Source organism: Homo sapiens, chromosome 10 (assembly GCF_000001405.40).
Source record: "Homo sapiens chromosome 10, GRCh38.p14 Primary Assembly".
In the NCBI taxonomy this organism is placed as follows: domain Eukaryota; kingdom Metazoa; phylum Chordata; class Mammalia; order Primates; family Hominidae; genus Homo; species Homo sapiens.
Genome location: NC_000010.11, coordinates 49,531,939 through 49,548,999, shown reverse-complemented (window position 1 = coordinate 49,548,999; position 17,061 = coordinate 49,531,939). Strand labels below are relative to the sequence as shown.

General features: G+C 43.6%; 1 protein-coding gene across 4 annotated transcripts in view, besides 7 other annotated features; it reads left to right on the top strand.

The window, feature by feature from the left end:
* Nucleotides 9,197–9,436: an enhancer, noted in NCBI's record as "active region_3354". NCBI's record gives its function as "activates an Ori minimal core promoter by ATAC-STARR-seq in GM12878 lymphoblastoid cells {active_cell/tissue: GM12878}" and the evidence as "EXISTENCE:reporter gene assay evidence [ECO:0000049][PMID:35858748]".
* The window catches only part of ERCC6 (ERCC excision repair 6, chromatin remodeling factor), a 104,658-nt gene continuing 97,058 nt past the window's right edge, over nt 9,462–17,061 (top strand). For 2 of the 4 annotated variants that reach the window (NM_000124.4, NM_001277058.2), the window contains exons 1-2: nt 9,879–10,038; nt 16,022–16,457. In NM_000124.4, the coding sequence (NP_000115.1) occupies nt 16,036–16,457 (422 nt within the window). In that variant the 5' untranslated portion in view covers nt 9,879–10,038; nt 16,022–16,035. Of the gene's footprint in view, nt 9,569–9,878; nt 10,039–16,021; nt 16,458–17,061 lie in introns of those variants that run through there. The other 2 variants (NM_001277059.2, NM_001346440.2) reach the window with 2 other exon arrangements.
* Nucleotides 9,467–9,526: an enhancer, noted in NCBI's record as "active region_3353". NCBI's record gives its function as "activates an Ori minimal core promoter by ATAC-STARR-seq in GM12878 lymphoblastoid cells {active_cell/tissue: GM12878}" and the evidence as "EXISTENCE:reporter gene assay evidence [ECO:0000049][PMID:35858748]".
* Nucleotides 9,947–10,236: a silencer, noted in NCBI's record as "silent region_2363". NCBI's record gives its function as "represses an Ori minimal core promoter by ATAC-STARR-seq in GM12878 lymphoblastoid cells {active_cell/tissue: GM12878}" and the evidence as "EXISTENCE:reporter gene assay evidence [ECO:0000049][PMID:35858748]".
* Nucleotides 11,182–11,370: a silencer, noted in NCBI's record as "fragment chr10:50745676-50745864 (GRCh37/hg19 assembly coordinates)". NCBI's record gives its function as "represses an EF-1alpha promoter that drives an FKBP-Casp9 reporter gene in an ReSE screen in K562 erythroleukemia cells {active_cell/tissue: K562}" and the evidence as "EXISTENCE:reporter gene assay evidence [ECO:0000049][PMID:32094911]".
* Nucleotides 12,769–12,828: an enhancer, noted in NCBI's record as "active region_3352". NCBI's record gives its function as "activates an Ori minimal core promoter by ATAC-STARR-seq in GM12878 lymphoblastoid cells {active_cell/tissue: GM12878}" and the evidence as "EXISTENCE:reporter gene assay evidence [ECO:0000049][PMID:35858748]".
* Nucleotides 12,859–12,908: an enhancer, noted in NCBI's record as "active region_3351". NCBI's record gives its function as "activates an Ori minimal core promoter by ATAC-STARR-seq in GM12878 lymphoblastoid cells {active_cell/tissue: GM12878}" and the evidence as "EXISTENCE:reporter gene assay evidence [ECO:0000049][PMID:35858748]".
* Nucleotides 14,067–14,226: an enhancer, noted in NCBI's record as "active region_3350". NCBI's record gives its function as "activates an Ori minimal core promoter by ATAC-STARR-seq in GM12878 lymphoblastoid cells {active_cell/tissue: GM12878}" and the evidence as "EXISTENCE:reporter gene assay evidence [ECO:0000049][PMID:35858748]".

The window sequence follows — 17,061 nt, the reverse complement described above, 5'->3', positions numbered from 1 at the left end:
TTTCTCTGGCCTCCATGAGCTCTTTGCCTTCCCTACCCCACTGCAGGCAATGCTTTTCTCCCTTCCTTTTCCTATCTCTCTGCACAAATTTGTTGTAGGAATGGTAAAAATCACCATCTCTTGCATTATCTCTTGCAATTTTAATTAATGAGAAAAAGGATTTCTGAGGCTAGTCTTAAGCTGTAGTGAATCTGATGTATTTTGTGCTATAAATTTGTCTTTCTGTATCATTCTGTCATAAAGAAGAGTATCTTAGGAGAGAACATGGGCTTAGTATCCCATAAAACCACTGTTCAACACACTCCAGCAAGCTGGTCAGTAACAAACTTTGCTGCAGGTCCCTGAAACAATGAAACTGGATGAGGTTTCCCTCTCATCTTGTTCTACGTTCTTGGGAGCTTGATCTTGTAACTGCGGGGCAGTAGTTTCTCTTTCTCCACCATCCGGAGAATAGGAATTTTGGAATTCATGTCATAGCCTTAAAAATTGTCTTGAGCAGTTAAAAGTTTTTGCAAGCTAAGAATTGGCTGCTTCTAGGCTCCTTCTGGGAAGAGTAACAGAAACTGTCCAGTGCTGTAGCTTAGTGGCTAAGGCTTTGTCTTTTCACAATGGGGGCCCGGGTTCAGGGTTCAATTCCTGGCCTAGGGAATGAGTACTTTTTGGTTCATATCTGTGTGAATGTTGCCATTTGTTGATTCTCTGCCCCTCTGTGAACAACTTCTGACTTCCTTCTTGAATTTTCCTTTCTCTGAGCTACCTTTGGAGATTTTACATTTTGTAAAAACTGCTAACCATCTCTTTGAAAAAAACTCGTTGACTCGTGGTTAAGTTATAACCTTAGTTAAGGCTTACTGGTTTTGCCTGAGAGGTTACTGTTGGTAAAATTCAAAAGCCAGAAATATTGGCCATTTGGCCTGGGTGAGATCAGTAACAAGAAATTTAAAAGGACTTTTTAAAAAGAGTGGTATGGTTAAAAGTTAGCTTAATTAAAAGTGGATAGCCAAGCTTTACCTATATTTAAAAGAACTTTATGTTTCTTCTCTTCTTGGAAGATGTTTTTCTGGAAAAAAGGTTTTTTTTTCTTCTCAGTTGAATGAACTGTTTTTCTCCATTTTGTCTTCTTGCCATTCTTGATGCACACATGAGAGGACCTAAGAATTTCTAGCAGCATGGGACTTCTTGGGAAAAACAGAGGAGGTGCCACGACCTCATTTTGGGAAAAATCTCTGTTTTCCTCATAAAATCCCAGGAATCGAAAGTGGATAGATCCCTCTAAAATATAAGGCTCTGTTCTCTTTTGCATTGCATTATCTGATGTTTTTGACTTTTGGGGGTATCAGAAATTTGCCCTGTGAGAGAACTTTAGTGTATAATAACAAGGGAGGAAATGCACTTTTAGGGATGGCTAATGACAGTTATGGGGGGATACTCAACTCTTTGCACATTTGGATCAGAGAAACATGCTCTTGGCCCCCTGGAAGATATGGAAATATACCCACTCACTACTGAGAGATAAGACTCCCATGGGAAATGGCCTGATTTCCTCTTTTTGCGATCCAGGATCTGGTATAAAAATGGGACCCAAAATTTTGGGGAATCTGTTTTGCCTTCCAGCTGTGCCTGCTTATTAGGCCCTAGAAATTGCACACTTTAAAGAGAAACTTAAAAGCTGGCAAATGAAAAATCTTACAACTACTAGATCTGTCTGTCTATTTAAATGTGTTGTATGTGTGATATGTATAAATGAAAGAGCTCTGATTAATTGGCTTAAAAATAATAAGAGCTTAAATCAATCAAGCAATCTGTATTTCCCAAAGATTATTTGATTTAATCTTTGGGAAATAAAGACAGTTTTACAGATTATTGGTAAAATTAAAACATTTGGTCTAAATTACACTGGTTGCTGAATACTTTAAGGTCAATTGCTTCTTTCACTTTTAAAAATTGTTCTAGTACCTGCTTTGGAGCCATTAGATTCTAAGTAAGGCCTGAGGACATGTGGAGTTAGCCATGCCTCCTGGCTATGCTAGAAAGAGTCAGACCTTATCTACACTTCTGTCTGGTGTCTTAAGCTCCAAAGCTGGTACATAATTAGAATCACTTACTTACCAGGTTTTTCACCAAAAATAAAAGTTGCTAAGAGTTAACATTGTAACATGTAATTAAGACTACTAGAGATATACCAGGCATAGTGGCTTATGCCTGTAATCCCCAGCACTTTGAGAAGCTGAGGTGGAAATATCGCTTAAGCTCATGAGTTCCAGATTAGCCTGGGCAACATGGCTAAACCCTGTCTTTATAAAAAATACAAAAAGTAGCTGGGCATGGTGGTGATGTCTGTAGCCCCAGCTACTTGGGAGGCTGAGGTGGGAGGATAGCTTGAGCCCAGGAGGTGGAGGTTGCATCGAGCTGAAATTGTGTCACTGCACTGCAGCCTGGGTAATAGAATGAGACCTTGCCTCAAAACAAAACAAAACAAAACAAAGCAAAACAAAACAAAACAAAAAAAACGGACTACTAGGGAAACAGTTTTACATGCAAGGTATGTAAGGAAAGTGAAATGTATTTTTGGTAAAATATTATAAGAAGGCATGGGAATGTGGACTTTTTTTTTGGCCTAGTTTAGAGGGCTAAAGGATTGGTTTAAGTTAGATAGGATAAAGCTGAAGGTTTGAGCAAGTGCTGGGAGGTTTGTGAAAAATGCATATTGTAAAAGAAATTCTGTGTGTGAACATATTGGCTAAAGTTAAAGGGGAATTATTCGGTTTTTTCATAAATTGAACATTGGAATAAAAACACAACAGGTTTTTCTTAGAGCACTTATCTACTCTTTAACAAAAATTTGTAAGGGGTTATAAAAGATTTATGAGAATCTTACCTTATGGTCAGACATTAAAATTGGATAGATTTGTCTTTAAGGTTTTATTAAGAATTTGGTTTAACATCAATAATGCACTAATGCCATGGTGAAATTTGGCTTATTTGGTATAAAAATCATACAGAAAGCACTGTCAAATATGAAATGGTGTTTGGCTTTCTTTGGGCTGTATTTTTATAAATATTTATTGGTATCTGTTCCAAAATTATGAGAAACTCCTATAATTCTTTTACTTTTTTTTTTTTTTTTTGTGAGACGGATTCTTGCCCTGTCACCCAGGCTGGAGTACAGTGGTGTGATCTCTGCTCACTGCAACCGCCACATCCTGGGTTCACACCATTCTCCTGCCTCAGCTTCCCAAGTAGCTGGGACTACAGGCACCCACCACCATGCCCAGCTAATTTTTTTTTTTTTGTATTTTTAGTAGAGATGGGGTTTCACTGTTTTAGCCAGGATGGTCTTGATCTCCTGACCTTATGATCCGCCTGCCTCAGCCTCCCAAAGTGCTGGGATTACAGGCATGAGCCACCACACCCAGCTGAGAAACTCCTATAATTCTTGTATGACTTAGTGTATATTGTTAATAATTATAATTATGACAAGTCTTTGTATGCACAAAAGTAACCAAAATTCCTAGTCAATTGTGACTTTAATAGTGACTGTCCTAAGGTTTTTTGTCATCCACAGACAAGTGTTATCTTGTATTGTTCCTCTTCAAAAGGTGGTTTATAATCAACTATACGACTTTGACAGGTGCTCTTAAATGCAGGTTTCTGAATAACTTAGGAGATTGTGACATTAGAATAGAGGAAAAAACATTTAGGACTCTCATGGAGAGCTGAAATATTCATGACTATCAAGCAGAACAGGAGTCAACTGCATGGAGTAAACTAATAGAAGCCTGAAGTAATCTTTTTGACTTTTTTTCTTAAAGTGTTGCTGATCCTTTGTTTTGTTTTTCACAGTCAAGAAAACTTTTATTTACAACTTGTAGCAGCTGAGTATGCCTATAAACAAAATTTGAAGCATATTTCTCTCTACCTGATTTCTCCAGAATTTGGAAACTATTTGTGAGTATTCTTATGGCAATATAGTTATTTACATAAGTGCAGTAAGAATCTGTTTTCTTTTACAACAGGACACAGTTGGAGGAACTGATTATTTTACCAAGCCTTTGACTGGAATGGCATGCTTTCAAATATAAACAAACTGCTTCAAGGAATCAAACTTGACTTATAGAGACAATAAAAGCCCCTTGGGAAAACTGGCCTCATACCTTGTCTACACAGTCCTTGTACAGGGTTCTTGGTCTGTAATAAGTAAAGAATGCAACTTTCTGAGAGGCCCAGGAGCACCAATATCTTGGGACCTCAGGAGGAGAGGAATTTACCCAACTTACAGGTATTTGATGGCAGCAACCCATGGCTGGGCTCAGTTTTAAAAAAAGTCTTATTTAAAATTCCTTATAGAACAAAGATCCATCAAATCCAATTACAAAAAAAAAACCCATGTGAAAAATAATTATTCTTGCTGCCCTTTTTACGAAGAATCAGGCCAAGTATAAAACTAAATTTATTTAGTTGGAAGCAAATCAGTCTTACCATGATTTGTCTTTAATAAAAGTGGGAGCCTGAAGAGAGAAAAAAGTTATGTTTCAACTATGGTACACCTGTTATTAGATTCTAGTCTCATCAGTTATTTTTAAGGGTTTTTTCTTCCTTGCAATTTAGACTAACCCTACTTTTTCCTGCCAACTAACCAGTGATCTCTGGCTGCTGCTCAGAAAAAAAATAACAGAAATGGGTAATGTAAAAATCTGGATCAATATTCTAATTCTAATTGGAACATATAGCATGTACAGCAACTTCATATCAGCTTGCCCAGTTCCAGCTGTTGCCGAGTTCATGGAAAGCCTTCTAATTTAGTTTACTTGGGATAGTTTTACTTATTTTGCTTTACCGTTGTGGAACATATTGCTGTTGTACTCCGTGTGGGAGTGCAGGATAAGCTTACTCAATGTTTAATTAAATTGAATACTTTTTAATCTTCCAGATATCACCTTTTGCCCTCAAGAGTTATGAATGTCCCTCACCATAGTGATGCCTTCTGACTGAGCTCCTCACTACCCTGAATACAAGAGACCATAATAGTTAGGTAGGAGTAGCATAGCCCTTATTCAGCTTGAAGAAGTTACAGAAGATGGATCTTTGTCCCTCTACTACCCTTTGGATTAGGCGTTCCCTTGTAAAAGGGAAGGGAGAAATATGTCAGAGGCATTTGAACCAGAGTGATTCCATCTTGAATTGGGGCTGGGTGAAATAAGGCTGAGACCTACTGAGCTGTATTCCCAAGAGGGCAGGCATTCTAAGTCACAGGATGAGGTAGGAGGTTGGCACAAGATACAGGTGACAAAGACCTTGCTGATTAAACAGTTTGCGGTAAAGAAGCTGGCCAAAACCCACGAAAACCAAGATGGCAATGAAAGTGATGTCTGGTCATCCTCACTCTTCCTTATATGCTAATTATAATGCATTAGCATGCTAAGAGACACTCCTATCAGCACATGACAGCTTACAAATGCCATGGCAATATCAGAAAGTTACCCTATATGGTTTAAAAATGGGAAGAACCCTCAGTTCTGGGAATTACCCACCCCTTTCCTAGAAAACTCAGGAATAATCTACCCCTTCTTTAGCATATAATCAAGAAATAACTATAAGTATTCTCATCAAGCAGCCCAAGTTGCTGTTCTGCCTATGGAGTAGCCATTCTTTATTCCTTTACTCTCCTAATAAACTTGCTTTCACTTTACTCTATGGACTTGCCCCGAATTCTTTCTTACTCAAGGTCTAAGAACTCTCTCGGCATCTGGATCGGGAATCCTTCCTGGTAACAGTTCACAATGGATGGTTTTATACATTCATTGCTTTTAAGCTTGCTGATTCATTTATTCAACATACATTTAACATGTTTTTCTAGTGGTTGCCAACACAGTTCTAAATAATATGCTTTTGCTTCTTTTTTGATTTATAATTTTTACAAAGTATTTATTGTGTTTCCAATACATCTAATTATTTTTCATGAGTTTTCCCCATTTATAAGGATCAGAGAACCAAACCGGTTTTGTTGCACTGCCGTTACCCAGAAGTTTTGAAAAGTGAGAGTCAACTCAGACCTCTGTTCTGTAGGTCATTGGGAGAATTCCTTATATTGAACACGAAATGTGAAATAAAGGCGCAAGGATGAATATCGTCATAGTTAAACAAGTTAACATTAGTAAAGCACTCAAGACAATGAAACCACCTTTGCAAAAATTATATCAGTTAGAAAATTATGACAGTGAAAGAGGTCTGAGTTAACGCCCCCATTCCAACACCTATCTTGCCTTTCCCTTAATTATTTCTAAGCTACTGGGGCCAGCTAACTTTGAGAGACATTTAGGCTATAGTTTACATGATAACAGACCTTGCCTGAAACTCAACTGTTTTTGTAAAGCTAATGGGAAGCTATCAGGCTGTGGGGGAGGAGAGGAGCCTGAGTCCTGCTAAGGCGCAGATATGAACGATTGTCAGTCATTATTCTGGAGGTTATAAGATACTCAACTTTCCCAATTACTCCTGCAAATAACACCACTGATATGGTTTGGCTGTGTCCCCACCCAAATCTCATCCTGAATTGTAGTTTCCATAATCCCTACATGTTGTGGGAGGAAGCCGGTGGGAGATAACTGAATCGTGAGGGTGGTTACCTCCATGCTGTTCTGATAGTGAGTTCTCACGAGATCTGATGGTTTTATAAGGGGCTTTCCCCCTCCTTCACTCTGCACTTCTCCTTGCTGCCACCATGTGAAGTAGGACATGTTTGCTCCCCCTGTCACCATGATTGTAAGTTTCCAGAGGCCTCCCCAGCCATGCTTAACTGTGAGTCAATTAAACCTCTTTCCTTTATAAATTACCCAGTCTTGGGTATGTCTTTATTAGCAGCACGAGAGCAGACTAATACAACCACTATTTGTAGCTTTTTGAGATATCTTTCCAGGTTTTTTGCATGTCTGACACCCATGGCTCCACCTGGACCGCCAACCCCACTCCCACAGCCCCACCCAGAAGTGATTCAGACTGCAGGAGGACAGCTTTGACTCCCCCTATGATTTCATCTCAGCCTCAACCAATCAGCAGCAAGCACCTGTTACCTGGCCACTCCCACCCCTTCCTCCAAACTGCGTTTGAAAAACCCCCAGCCTATGAGCTTCGGACTTTGGATCAGATGACCTGAGCATGCACTCCATCTCCCACCTGGCATGGTCGGCCTCGTGTCTATTAAGCTCTTTTTCTACCACAATGCTATGGTCTTTCTTTATGCAGTGGGCAGGAAGAACCCCTTGGGTGGGGTGTTTAAAATAATGCCCAGCTTAGAGTAAGGGCTAGGAAATGGTAGGGAAAATGGATTAAAATCCAAATCAATAACTACTATAATAATGACATTAGAAATATTGGTTTGGGGGTACACAGGAGATGCAAGAGCCTATTGCTGTCAGAGGGTAGGGGAAAGCTTCAGAAAAGAGAAACTTTGTCTGAGTTTGGAATGGGTAAGAGAATTCTAAGCAGAGGGACCTGCTTGTAAGATCACAGAAGTGACAGAATAACAAGTAGGGGTATGTGGGAAAAGATTAATAATTGCCTCTCCCCCAAAGTTCCAGTTTATAGTTTGTCCATTTCTGTGGTATAAATACTCCTACTATGGCTGATTTCAAGCTATTAATGTGAAGTCAACAAAGGCAGAGTTGGTGCTATGGGCTAAACTGGGTGCCCCCCAAATTCATATGCTGAATCCCTAACCCTCAATGTGACTATTTGGAGACAGGGTCTTTAGGCAGCAAATCTGGTTAAATGAGATCATAAGGGTGAGTCCCTAATCCAATACGGCTGATGCCTTAGAAGAAAGGGAAGACAGAGCCCTCTCTCTACCCCATGTAAGGACACAGTGAGAAGGTAACCATTTGCAAGCCATGAGGAGAGCTTCCCCTAAATGAGCTAAATCTGCCTGCATTTGATCTTGGACTTCCCAGCCTCCAGAACTATGAGAAACAAATGCCTGTTGTTTAAGCTGCCCAGTCTATGGCATTTGTTATGGCAGCCTGAGCTAAGGCAGCTGGGAAGAGGTGAACAGTATGCTTGCTAGGCCGTAGAAGCCAATTGTAGCACACCCTTCCTGGGAGAAGAGTAAGTAGTTCCCTAAATCCTGAGCATAGGCATCCAGGGAGTGAAGGACACAAGTGATGCAGAAAAATTAGATGGGGCAGGAGTATAAAAGGGCTTGGACGACTTGCTAAATAACTTGGGACCTCATTTAACTAAATTCCCTCATTAAAGACCCTATCTTCAAATACAGTCACATTCTGAGGTCCCGGGGTGGGGGTGGGGAGTGGCGGTTAGGACTCCAGCATATGAATTTTGGGGAGGGGACACAATTCGGCCCTTAATAGCTCCAGTTGTGCCACCCTGAGTTGTTTTCCTGAACCCCGCCCACGTCTTTGTAAATAATAACTCTCAACTTCCCCTTTTGAGTGGACCATTTTTTCCTGTCCAAATTCTGATATAGGAAGGGTCTCCAAAATAGCTGCAAAGGGAACCTCAGTCTCAAAAGTTGGGATCCACTATATATCTGCTTTTACTTTCAAGCATTGAAACTAATGTCAATCAACTGCCTTTCTATTCTTAATATTTTATCCAAGAAATCGCTAGAATTCTTTCTCCTTTAAAAAAAAAAAAAAGCAAGTTACAAGCCGGGCGTGGTGGCTCACACCTGTAATCCCAGAACTCTAGGAGGCCGAGGCGGGTGGATCACCTGAGGTCAGGAGTTCGCGGACAGCTTGGCTAACATGACGAAACCCCGTCTCTACTAAAAACACAAAAATTAGCTGGGCATGGTGGCAGGCGCCTGTAATCCCAGCTACCCGGCAGGCTGAGGCAGGAGAATCGCTTGAACCTGGGAGGAGGAGGTTGCAGTGAGCCCACATCGTGCCATTGTACTCCATCCTGGGCGACAAGAGCAAAACTCCGTCTCAAAAACAAAAACAAAAACAAAACAAACAAAAAAACCCACTACCACCAACAAAAACAAGTTACATTGTGGGTTGGGGCCGCTGACAGGAGGAATAAGATGATGTTATGGAGCATTTCCTAGTCCCCTTTCCGACCCCATTTCCCTATTGTCCGACTTCAGGCTTCCAAGTGAGGACAGCACTTCCCAGGCAGTGACCCGCAGTCACTGCCCTCCCAGAGGACGTCCTGCCTCGCGGCCCTGGAAAGTCCACCTTCTCCTAGCACCGATCCTGAGCTGAGAAGCTCTGTCTGGTACAGCCATCCTGCATCGTGGGCTGCTTCTTTCCCCAGGCGAAGCTCAACTTCCTCCCATTGTTCTGAACCTCTGTGTGGACATCTTCTTTCTTCAAACGCACCACGGTAAAATTCTCGCCTGCCTCGAAACCCCGCCTACCTCTGAGATCTGAGGACGGATACTAAACGCTGGACTTAAGGCAATGTACACATGTAAGCAGGCTCTGTAGGCACTCACTCCGCCCAGGTGCGCGCGTGGCGGAGGGGGAACAGAGAAGCAGGACAGCTCTCCATCCTTCCCGTGTTCAGTCGTGGGAGACAACAAGAGAGGTCACAGCCTGGCGACCAAAAAGTGCGGCTAACTTCCCTGCCCAAGCTGACTTTCTCTGCAGGGTTCAAGGTTAATTGTGAGGATTTACATTCGCATGGCACACCCGCATCCCCCTCTACGTGGAAATATGTCTTAACTTTCATAACTGCCTTGCCAGCAGGGTATTTTTCGCTAGGGGCGAAGCGTCCTTCGCAAGCCACCCAGCTGACCGGCAGCGGAGACAGCTTTCTCGCCCTGCTCGCACGCAAGTAGAAAGGCGCTGCTGAGCCCGTCCCTCCAAACCACGTGGTCTTGCCCGTGCTTAAAAACAAACGCTGAGCCAGGCGCATGCGCCACGGGCCTCCCCGCACCAGCAGAAGTCGGAGTCGCTGTTGGGGGCGGTGTCTATGGTTGAGCTGAGGGCGCAGGCGCCACGGCCCGTCGAGCTGGGTTCCAAGGCGGCTGGCGGCGGTAGCGTCTCTGTTTCCTTGTGGGCGCTCGCGCGGCCCTGGGTGAGTGTTCGGGGGTCCCGGCCGAATGTCGGGCAGGGGGTGTCGGGGCCCAGCTCAGGCTTCTCGGGCGGGCCGCGGCCCCGCGCCTTGGCCTCGCCGTGGTGATTGAGCCTGTCAGCGAGGACGCACTGTAGCGGGTCTTAGGGCCAAGTGCCCGCTTCCGGCGGCCTCACCTGAGACCGGAAGTAGCGCCAAGGAGCGCTCACCTGAGGCGGCTTGAGTCCCTGGCCGGCCAGCGACCCAGCTACTTCTCCGACTTTGTATAAGGCCCCCTGCGCGCAGGGTCAGCTGGGTCCTTTTTGATCTCGATTAAAATGCTGGAGCTGTTATTTTAAAGAGAGTCGGGCTAGATGTACGTCCGACGTTTTGGGCGTTGATAGAGTCAAATTGATAAGAGTGTGGGCGGATGAGGCAGGCCGCCTGTAAATGCTGCTGTTACGTGACTTCCACGCAGCGTCTTAACTGCTGTCATCCTGTGACAGGCAGCCCTCGCTTTTCTCCTCAACTTTTCCCATCATCTTCTTGTTGCTTTGTCTCCTCCAATCCATTATCCGCACAGTTGTCCAGGTGGTCTCTGGCATAAAGTAGGTCATGCCATCATCAGCCTACTTAACAGTTTTCAGAGTCATTCCATTGCACTGGGAGTGGAATCCATGCTCGTGTTTTCCCAGGCCTTGTGTGATTTGGCCCTTGCCTGTCCCCTCTCAGAACTGTGCCTGTGTCCGACCAACCCTCCAAATGAGACCCAGCTTGCCCCTGGCTGCGGGAGCCCCAGTGATGGGGGAGGACGGTGAAGATACTAGTGTCCCAGATGATTAAGCCTTAGAAGATACTCTGCAAGACTTAGGCCATGAACGGAGCCCTTCTCTGCTCTTCTTAACTCAAAGTTAAAAATAAAGTCAAAAATTCGGTGTTCCAGCCTTCTTGCATTTTCACAAGTGCATCAGCTCTTTCTAGTCTTAAAAGTTACGCACGTTGTTGGGAGGCCGAGGTGGGTGGATCACCCGAGGTCAGGAGTTCGAGACCAGCCTTACCAACGTGGTGAAACCCTGTCTTTACTAAATACGAAAAATTAGCCGGGCATGATGGCATATGCCTGTAATCCCAGCTAATCGGGAGGCCAAGGCAGGAGAATCGCTTGAACCCGGAAGGCGGAGGTTGCAGTGAGCCTGGCGGAGCCTGGCGGAGGTTGCACTCCAGCCTGGGCAACCGGAGCGAAATTCCGTCTCAAAAAAAAAAAAAATTTCACACGTTGTTTCCTTGCAAGACGTTCACTTTACTTTCGACCTGACTGACTTATCAGATGTCACTTTATCAGAGAGGCCTCCTTGACCCCACATCTACCTCCACAATTTCAATTTGGTTTCTCTCATTTTGTCAGAAAGCCTTGTACTTTCCTCTTAACAGCAGTCACCACAATTATATTTGTGTGTGTGTGTGTGTGTGTGTGTGTATGTGTATATATATATATATAGTTTTTAAATGTCTGTTTTTCCCATGAGACTCTAAGCTCTTTGGGGACAGGAATTAGTTAACCTAGTACATTGCCTGGTGTAATTAACTCTCAGTAACTATTTGTTAAATGTATGATTTCTTTCTTTCTTTTTTTTTTTTTTTTTGAGACGGAGTCTTGCCCTGTCGCCCAGGCTGGAGTGCAGTGGTGCGATCTCGCTCACTGCGGCCTCCGCCTCCTGGGTTCAAGCGATTCTCCTGCCCCAGCCTCTCGAGTAGCTGGGATTACAGGCGCGCGCCTCCATGCCCAGCTAATTTTTGCATTTTTAGTAGAGACGGGGTTTCACTATGTTGGTCAGGCTGGTCTCGAACTTCTGACCTCGTGATCCTCCCGCCTCGGCCTCCCAAAGTGCTGGGATTACAGGCATGAGCCACCGCTCCCGGCAAATGTATGATTTATTTCACTTCTGAAATTCTTTAACCTGATAAGAGCCTTCTGGTTTCCAACTCTCACTTCCAGAAGACTTGGTTTTCTGGCCATTGCCAGATACTAAGTGACTTCTTGAACCCTTTCTCCCATTTCCAGGCCCCTTCTGTTTTTTTGTTTGTTTGTTTTTGTTTTTTTAAACCTACCCAGCTTGGACCCTGAAGTCAGTTGCTTCAGCTACTCTTCTCAGCATCTTCAACCCCGTGACTCTTTTGCGCTACCATTTCTGCTCTGAAAACCCTCAATAGTGACATTTCCCCCAGGACTACTGAAGGAGGAGATTGTTCAGCCCTGGAGATTGTTAGCAGTCTATGGCTTTGCAGGGCTGGGGAGATCCTCAGGTAGGTCCTCCACAGCAATCATCAGTGTTTGTTCCCTGTCAACTCCCTTTTCTCTTGTACAGGACATTTATTCCAGACTCTTAGTCTTTAGCCCCAGTGCCAACTTTGTCTCCTGACTCAGGAACTGCCCAACTTGCTGCTTTGTGGGATATTTTGTCTGTAATCCACTTCAGCTTCCCTCCTTTCCACCTGCAAATTTAGATCTATCAGGAATCCTCCTTCTGCCAGAGTCCGAGAAAGATGTGTTGTGCCTCCTGTTCATTTCTGCTTGCGACCTTCCACTTTTGCTGTCTCTTTTGGTACACCTTTCTGGGTTATCTCCTCTGTCTCCCTCCAGCCATTACGTGCTCTAGTTTTTCTTGCCCTAGTTCTCTCCCTACCCCCAACAAATCCATTATTACTTTATCACTGTAGCTGTCTCCCTGCCAGAGGCAAGCTCTTTAAAGGACAGGCCACTCTCTTGTGGCCTCCATTTCCTCATCCACTCCTTACACACCAACTACATTTCAACCACTACAGTCTGGTTTTTGGCCCTATCGCTCCACTGAAACTTTTTTATTTTTTCGAGACAGAGTTTCACTCTTGTTGCCCAGGCTGGAGTTCTGCGGTGTGATCTCAGCTCACTGCAACCTCTGCCTCCTGGGTTCAAGCGATTCTCGTGCCTCAGCCTCCCGAGTAGCTGGGATTACAGGCATGCACCACCACGCCTGGCTAATTTTTGTATTTTAGTAGAGATGGGGTTTCACCATGTTGGGTCAGGCTGGTCACGAACTCAGGTGATCCACCCGCCTTGGCCTCCCAAAGTGCTGGGATTACAGGTGTGAGCCACCAAGCCTGGCCTGAAACTTCTTTTACCAAGGTAAATGGTGACCCATTGGTATCCAAATTCACTCAGCCTTTTCTCATTCACTGGACGCTCTTCCTCCTTTTTTATTATTAGAAGTTTTCCCCAAACTTCTTTATTTTTAACCTTGTCTTTACACTACAATACTATTGCTTTTTGATATTATTTTACAGAAATAGAAAAATGGTTACTTAATATTTTTGGTTGAATTGGCATCCTTTTTTCTTAAAAAGAAATCCTCATGTGTGTACAAATAAGAAAAATGAAAACAGAATTGTTAACTGCCAGCTAGTACAGACACTCTGAGCTGGAATCCTGCTCTCTCTGTTGGAAAGTGAGGTGAGCTGAGCCTTCCTCTTGAAAATAATCAGCAGGCCCCAAAAGAAGGAACTTTCTCACTGTGTTGTTCACTTTTTAACCTTTCCAATGTTAGCCTCCTCGTACCCTCCAAAATGACCTTAGGTACCTGTCAGAGCCTTGGGAACCCTGGAACTGCTCACTCTGCTGATGTGTCCACATGTCACCCAGACTTTCCCTTGAGCTCAGATTTGCATTTCTGACTGCATGCTGCAAATGGTACTGATTACATGTAAGCTGCTTGCCAGTCCTGCTTCCTATCTGCTTCCTTTTTGAGAGTCTCATTTTTGTGACTGAATTCACTGGTGACTCATTTGTCCAGACCAAACTTTTTATTATTTTAGACTTAGCTCTGAACCTCACTTCCTTTCAGCAGATATTGAGCACCTCCTATATATCAGACCATGCATGGCCCATGTGTTCAAATCTCAGTTCCTCCGTGATATTTCTTGGGCCCCAGACACCATATATAGTTCGCTCGATGCTCGTGTGACCTCTTGTCCGTGTCCCGGGCTAGCTGACCTGCCCTGCTCTGTTGTTAACTGACATGCTGCTGCTCCAGTGGATAGCCACTCGGGTGTAGATGATGCTGAATTCTTTGTATCCCGGTGCTTTATTGCTGGGCTTATTTTACTTAATAAGGGATGAGTGGGGCCCACTGGGGGAACTTGTCATTTAACAGAAAAGTTACAGTGCTCAAAGAAATCTTATTCACAGTTAAACAAAAAGCAAGACTGATTTTTGGTTATCGTTTTGCTTTTTAATATATTTATTAGATGTGATAGTTGTATAGGTAATATAGTGAATATATTCTCCTTAAAGCAGCAGGTCCTGAGTATGTGGAGTACAATGTGAACATTCCCCCTTATTTTTCCCTGTGCTTTCTCTTCCCCATCCTGATTTGCAGGCTTAGTTTGTATCCTGCCAGATCATTCTGTGTGCAGGATAGATACTTTTTTCAGCATAAGTGTGTTCATACCATGAATTTTTTCACTTAACATGGCTTTTATATCAGTATACAGAATATACTTAGTAGTTACATTAAACTATTAAAAATGTGCTGCACTAAACATTCTTGCACCTGTGTGTGACTAGTTCTCTGGAATAAATACCTAGAATTGCTTGACAAAGGTCATGTGCCTTTAATTTAATAGATATTGCTAAGTTGTCCCTACAAGGGGCTTTACTAATTTATATTCTCAGCAGCACTATGTGAGGGGGGATCCTTCTCCTTGTCTGTATTGGATTTATCTATCAGGCTTTGAATTCTTGCTAACCTGATGGGTGAGAAATTATACTGTGTATTAAAATGGAGTTTTTTTTTTGTTTTTTTTTTTTTTTTTTTTTGAGATTGAGTCTCACTCTGTTGCCTATGCTGGAATGCAGTGGTGAGATCTCATCTCACTGCAACCTCCGCCTCCTGGGTTCAAGTGATTCTCCTGCTTCAGCCTCCCGAGTGGCTGGGATTACAGGTGCTCACCATCATACCCAGCCAATTATTGTATTTTTAGTAGAGATCGGGTTTCACCATGTTTGCCAGGCTGGTCTCAAACACCTGACCTTAAGTAATCTGCCCGCTTCAGCCTCCCAAAGTGTTGGGATTACAGATGTGAGCCATCGTGCCCAGCCTATTTTTGAGAATATTTTAATTAATCTTTTAAAAAAACTTTAAATTTATTTTACAAGGTCTTGCTCTTTTGCCCAGGCTAGAGTGCAGTTGTGCAATCATGGCTCACTGCAGCCTCCATCTCCCAGGCTCAAGTGATCCTCCTGCCTCAGCCCCTTGAGTAACTGGGACTATAGGTGCACATCACCAGGCCTGGCTAAGGTTTTAAATTTTTAGTAGAGACAAGGTCTCATTATCTTTCCCAGGCTGGTCTCGAAGTCCTGAGCTCGCTGTGTTTCCCTGGCTGGTCTCTATCCTCCCGCTTTGGCCTCCCAAAGTGCTGGGATTACAGGACTGAGCCACGTGCCTGGCCTAATTAATCTTCTGAGCTTCTGATTTGTTCAAAGCTCCTATTTACTGGATAGGTATTCAGCCTAGGAGTTTCTAGTCTCAGATTCACACAGAAGCTCTTTCCTAACATCGCTGTTCCTATGCATTACAGTTGATCTTGCCACTATATTATAAATCATTTGTGTCATAATGAAATGAAGATGCTAACTTGGAAAACAGCAGCCAAATGACTTCAGCTGTTTTGAAGAATATTCCATGGCCATCACCCCAGGATTTTGGTGGCTGGCTTTCTTAGCTGGCTGCCTAAATGTCCTTTGTTGATGATACTGCATTTCTTTTTCTGGTTAATTTTTCTTATTTATTATCAGAACTCAAGAAGATACGTTGTCCCTTTTTAGTAAATTAATACTTGGAAACTTGAATTTATGTAGTTGGAAGATTATTACTTGATCTTTTGAGAAATCAGTCTGCTCTAATTATAAAATATTTAAGAACTACAATGAATCCTATATAACGAAAAGGCTTATAAATTTTTTTCCTTTTAGGTAGTCTGTAGAGAATGCCAAATGAGGGAATCCCCCACTCAAGTCAAACTCAGGAGCAAGACTGTTTACAGAGTCAACCTGTCAGTAATAATGAAGAAATGGCAATCAAGCAAGAAAGTGGTGGTGATGGGGAGGTGGAGGAGTACCTCTCCTTTCGTTCTGTGGGTGACGGGCTGTCCACCTCTGCTGTGGGGTGCGCATCAGCAGCTCCGAGGAGAGGGCCAGCCCTGCTGCACATCGACCGACATCAGATCCAGGCAGTAGAGCCTAGCGCCCAGGCCCTTGAGCTGCAGGGTTTGGGTGTGGACGTCTATGACCAGGACGTGCTGGAACAGGGAGTGCTTCAGCAGGTGGACAATGCCATCCATGAGGCCAGCCGTGCCTCCCAGCTCGTTGACGTGGAGAAGGAGTATCGGTCGGTCCTGGATGACCTCACGTGAGTGCAGCCCATCTTCTTCCTTTCAAAGTGGTGGTAAAACATGACAGGGATATTCAGGTAATGGAAAGCTCTAGTATTCCAGAAGTTTAGGAGATGTGTAGAACCTTTTATTTGGAGGACAGAGTCAATAAGGGCAGTCCTCAACCTCATCTTTGAGTCCCAGCCCTTCCCCTTAGGAGTGGCATTGTACATGGTAGTTAGAGTCTCTGTCCAGCTCGTGAAAGCCAGTTGCATGCATAATGTCCAGAAGAGAAGGGCTGTTCACCAGCATGTGCACAAAGTGATCTCAGGAGAGGTGCACCTAAATTCAGGTGTTTCCTATTCGAGATGCCAGGAATACATTGCGCCCCCTTCACATTTTTCTCTGTGCGGTAGCTTCTTTCTAGCTTACTGTCCCCAAACTTAGTGTTCAGTCCTTGGGCAATTTTTCAGATTTGCATTTTTAGAAATAATAAAGACTCCCCGGTTTTCTTTTCTTCCATCCTTGTTCTGACTCTGGAAATGGAGATTTTATTTGTGTCTTAGAGAGGGAGAAGACTTGAGCTGTTTTGAGCATAGCACGTTAATGGGGAAGAAGGGGAGGCTGTAGACCTGAGCAAGG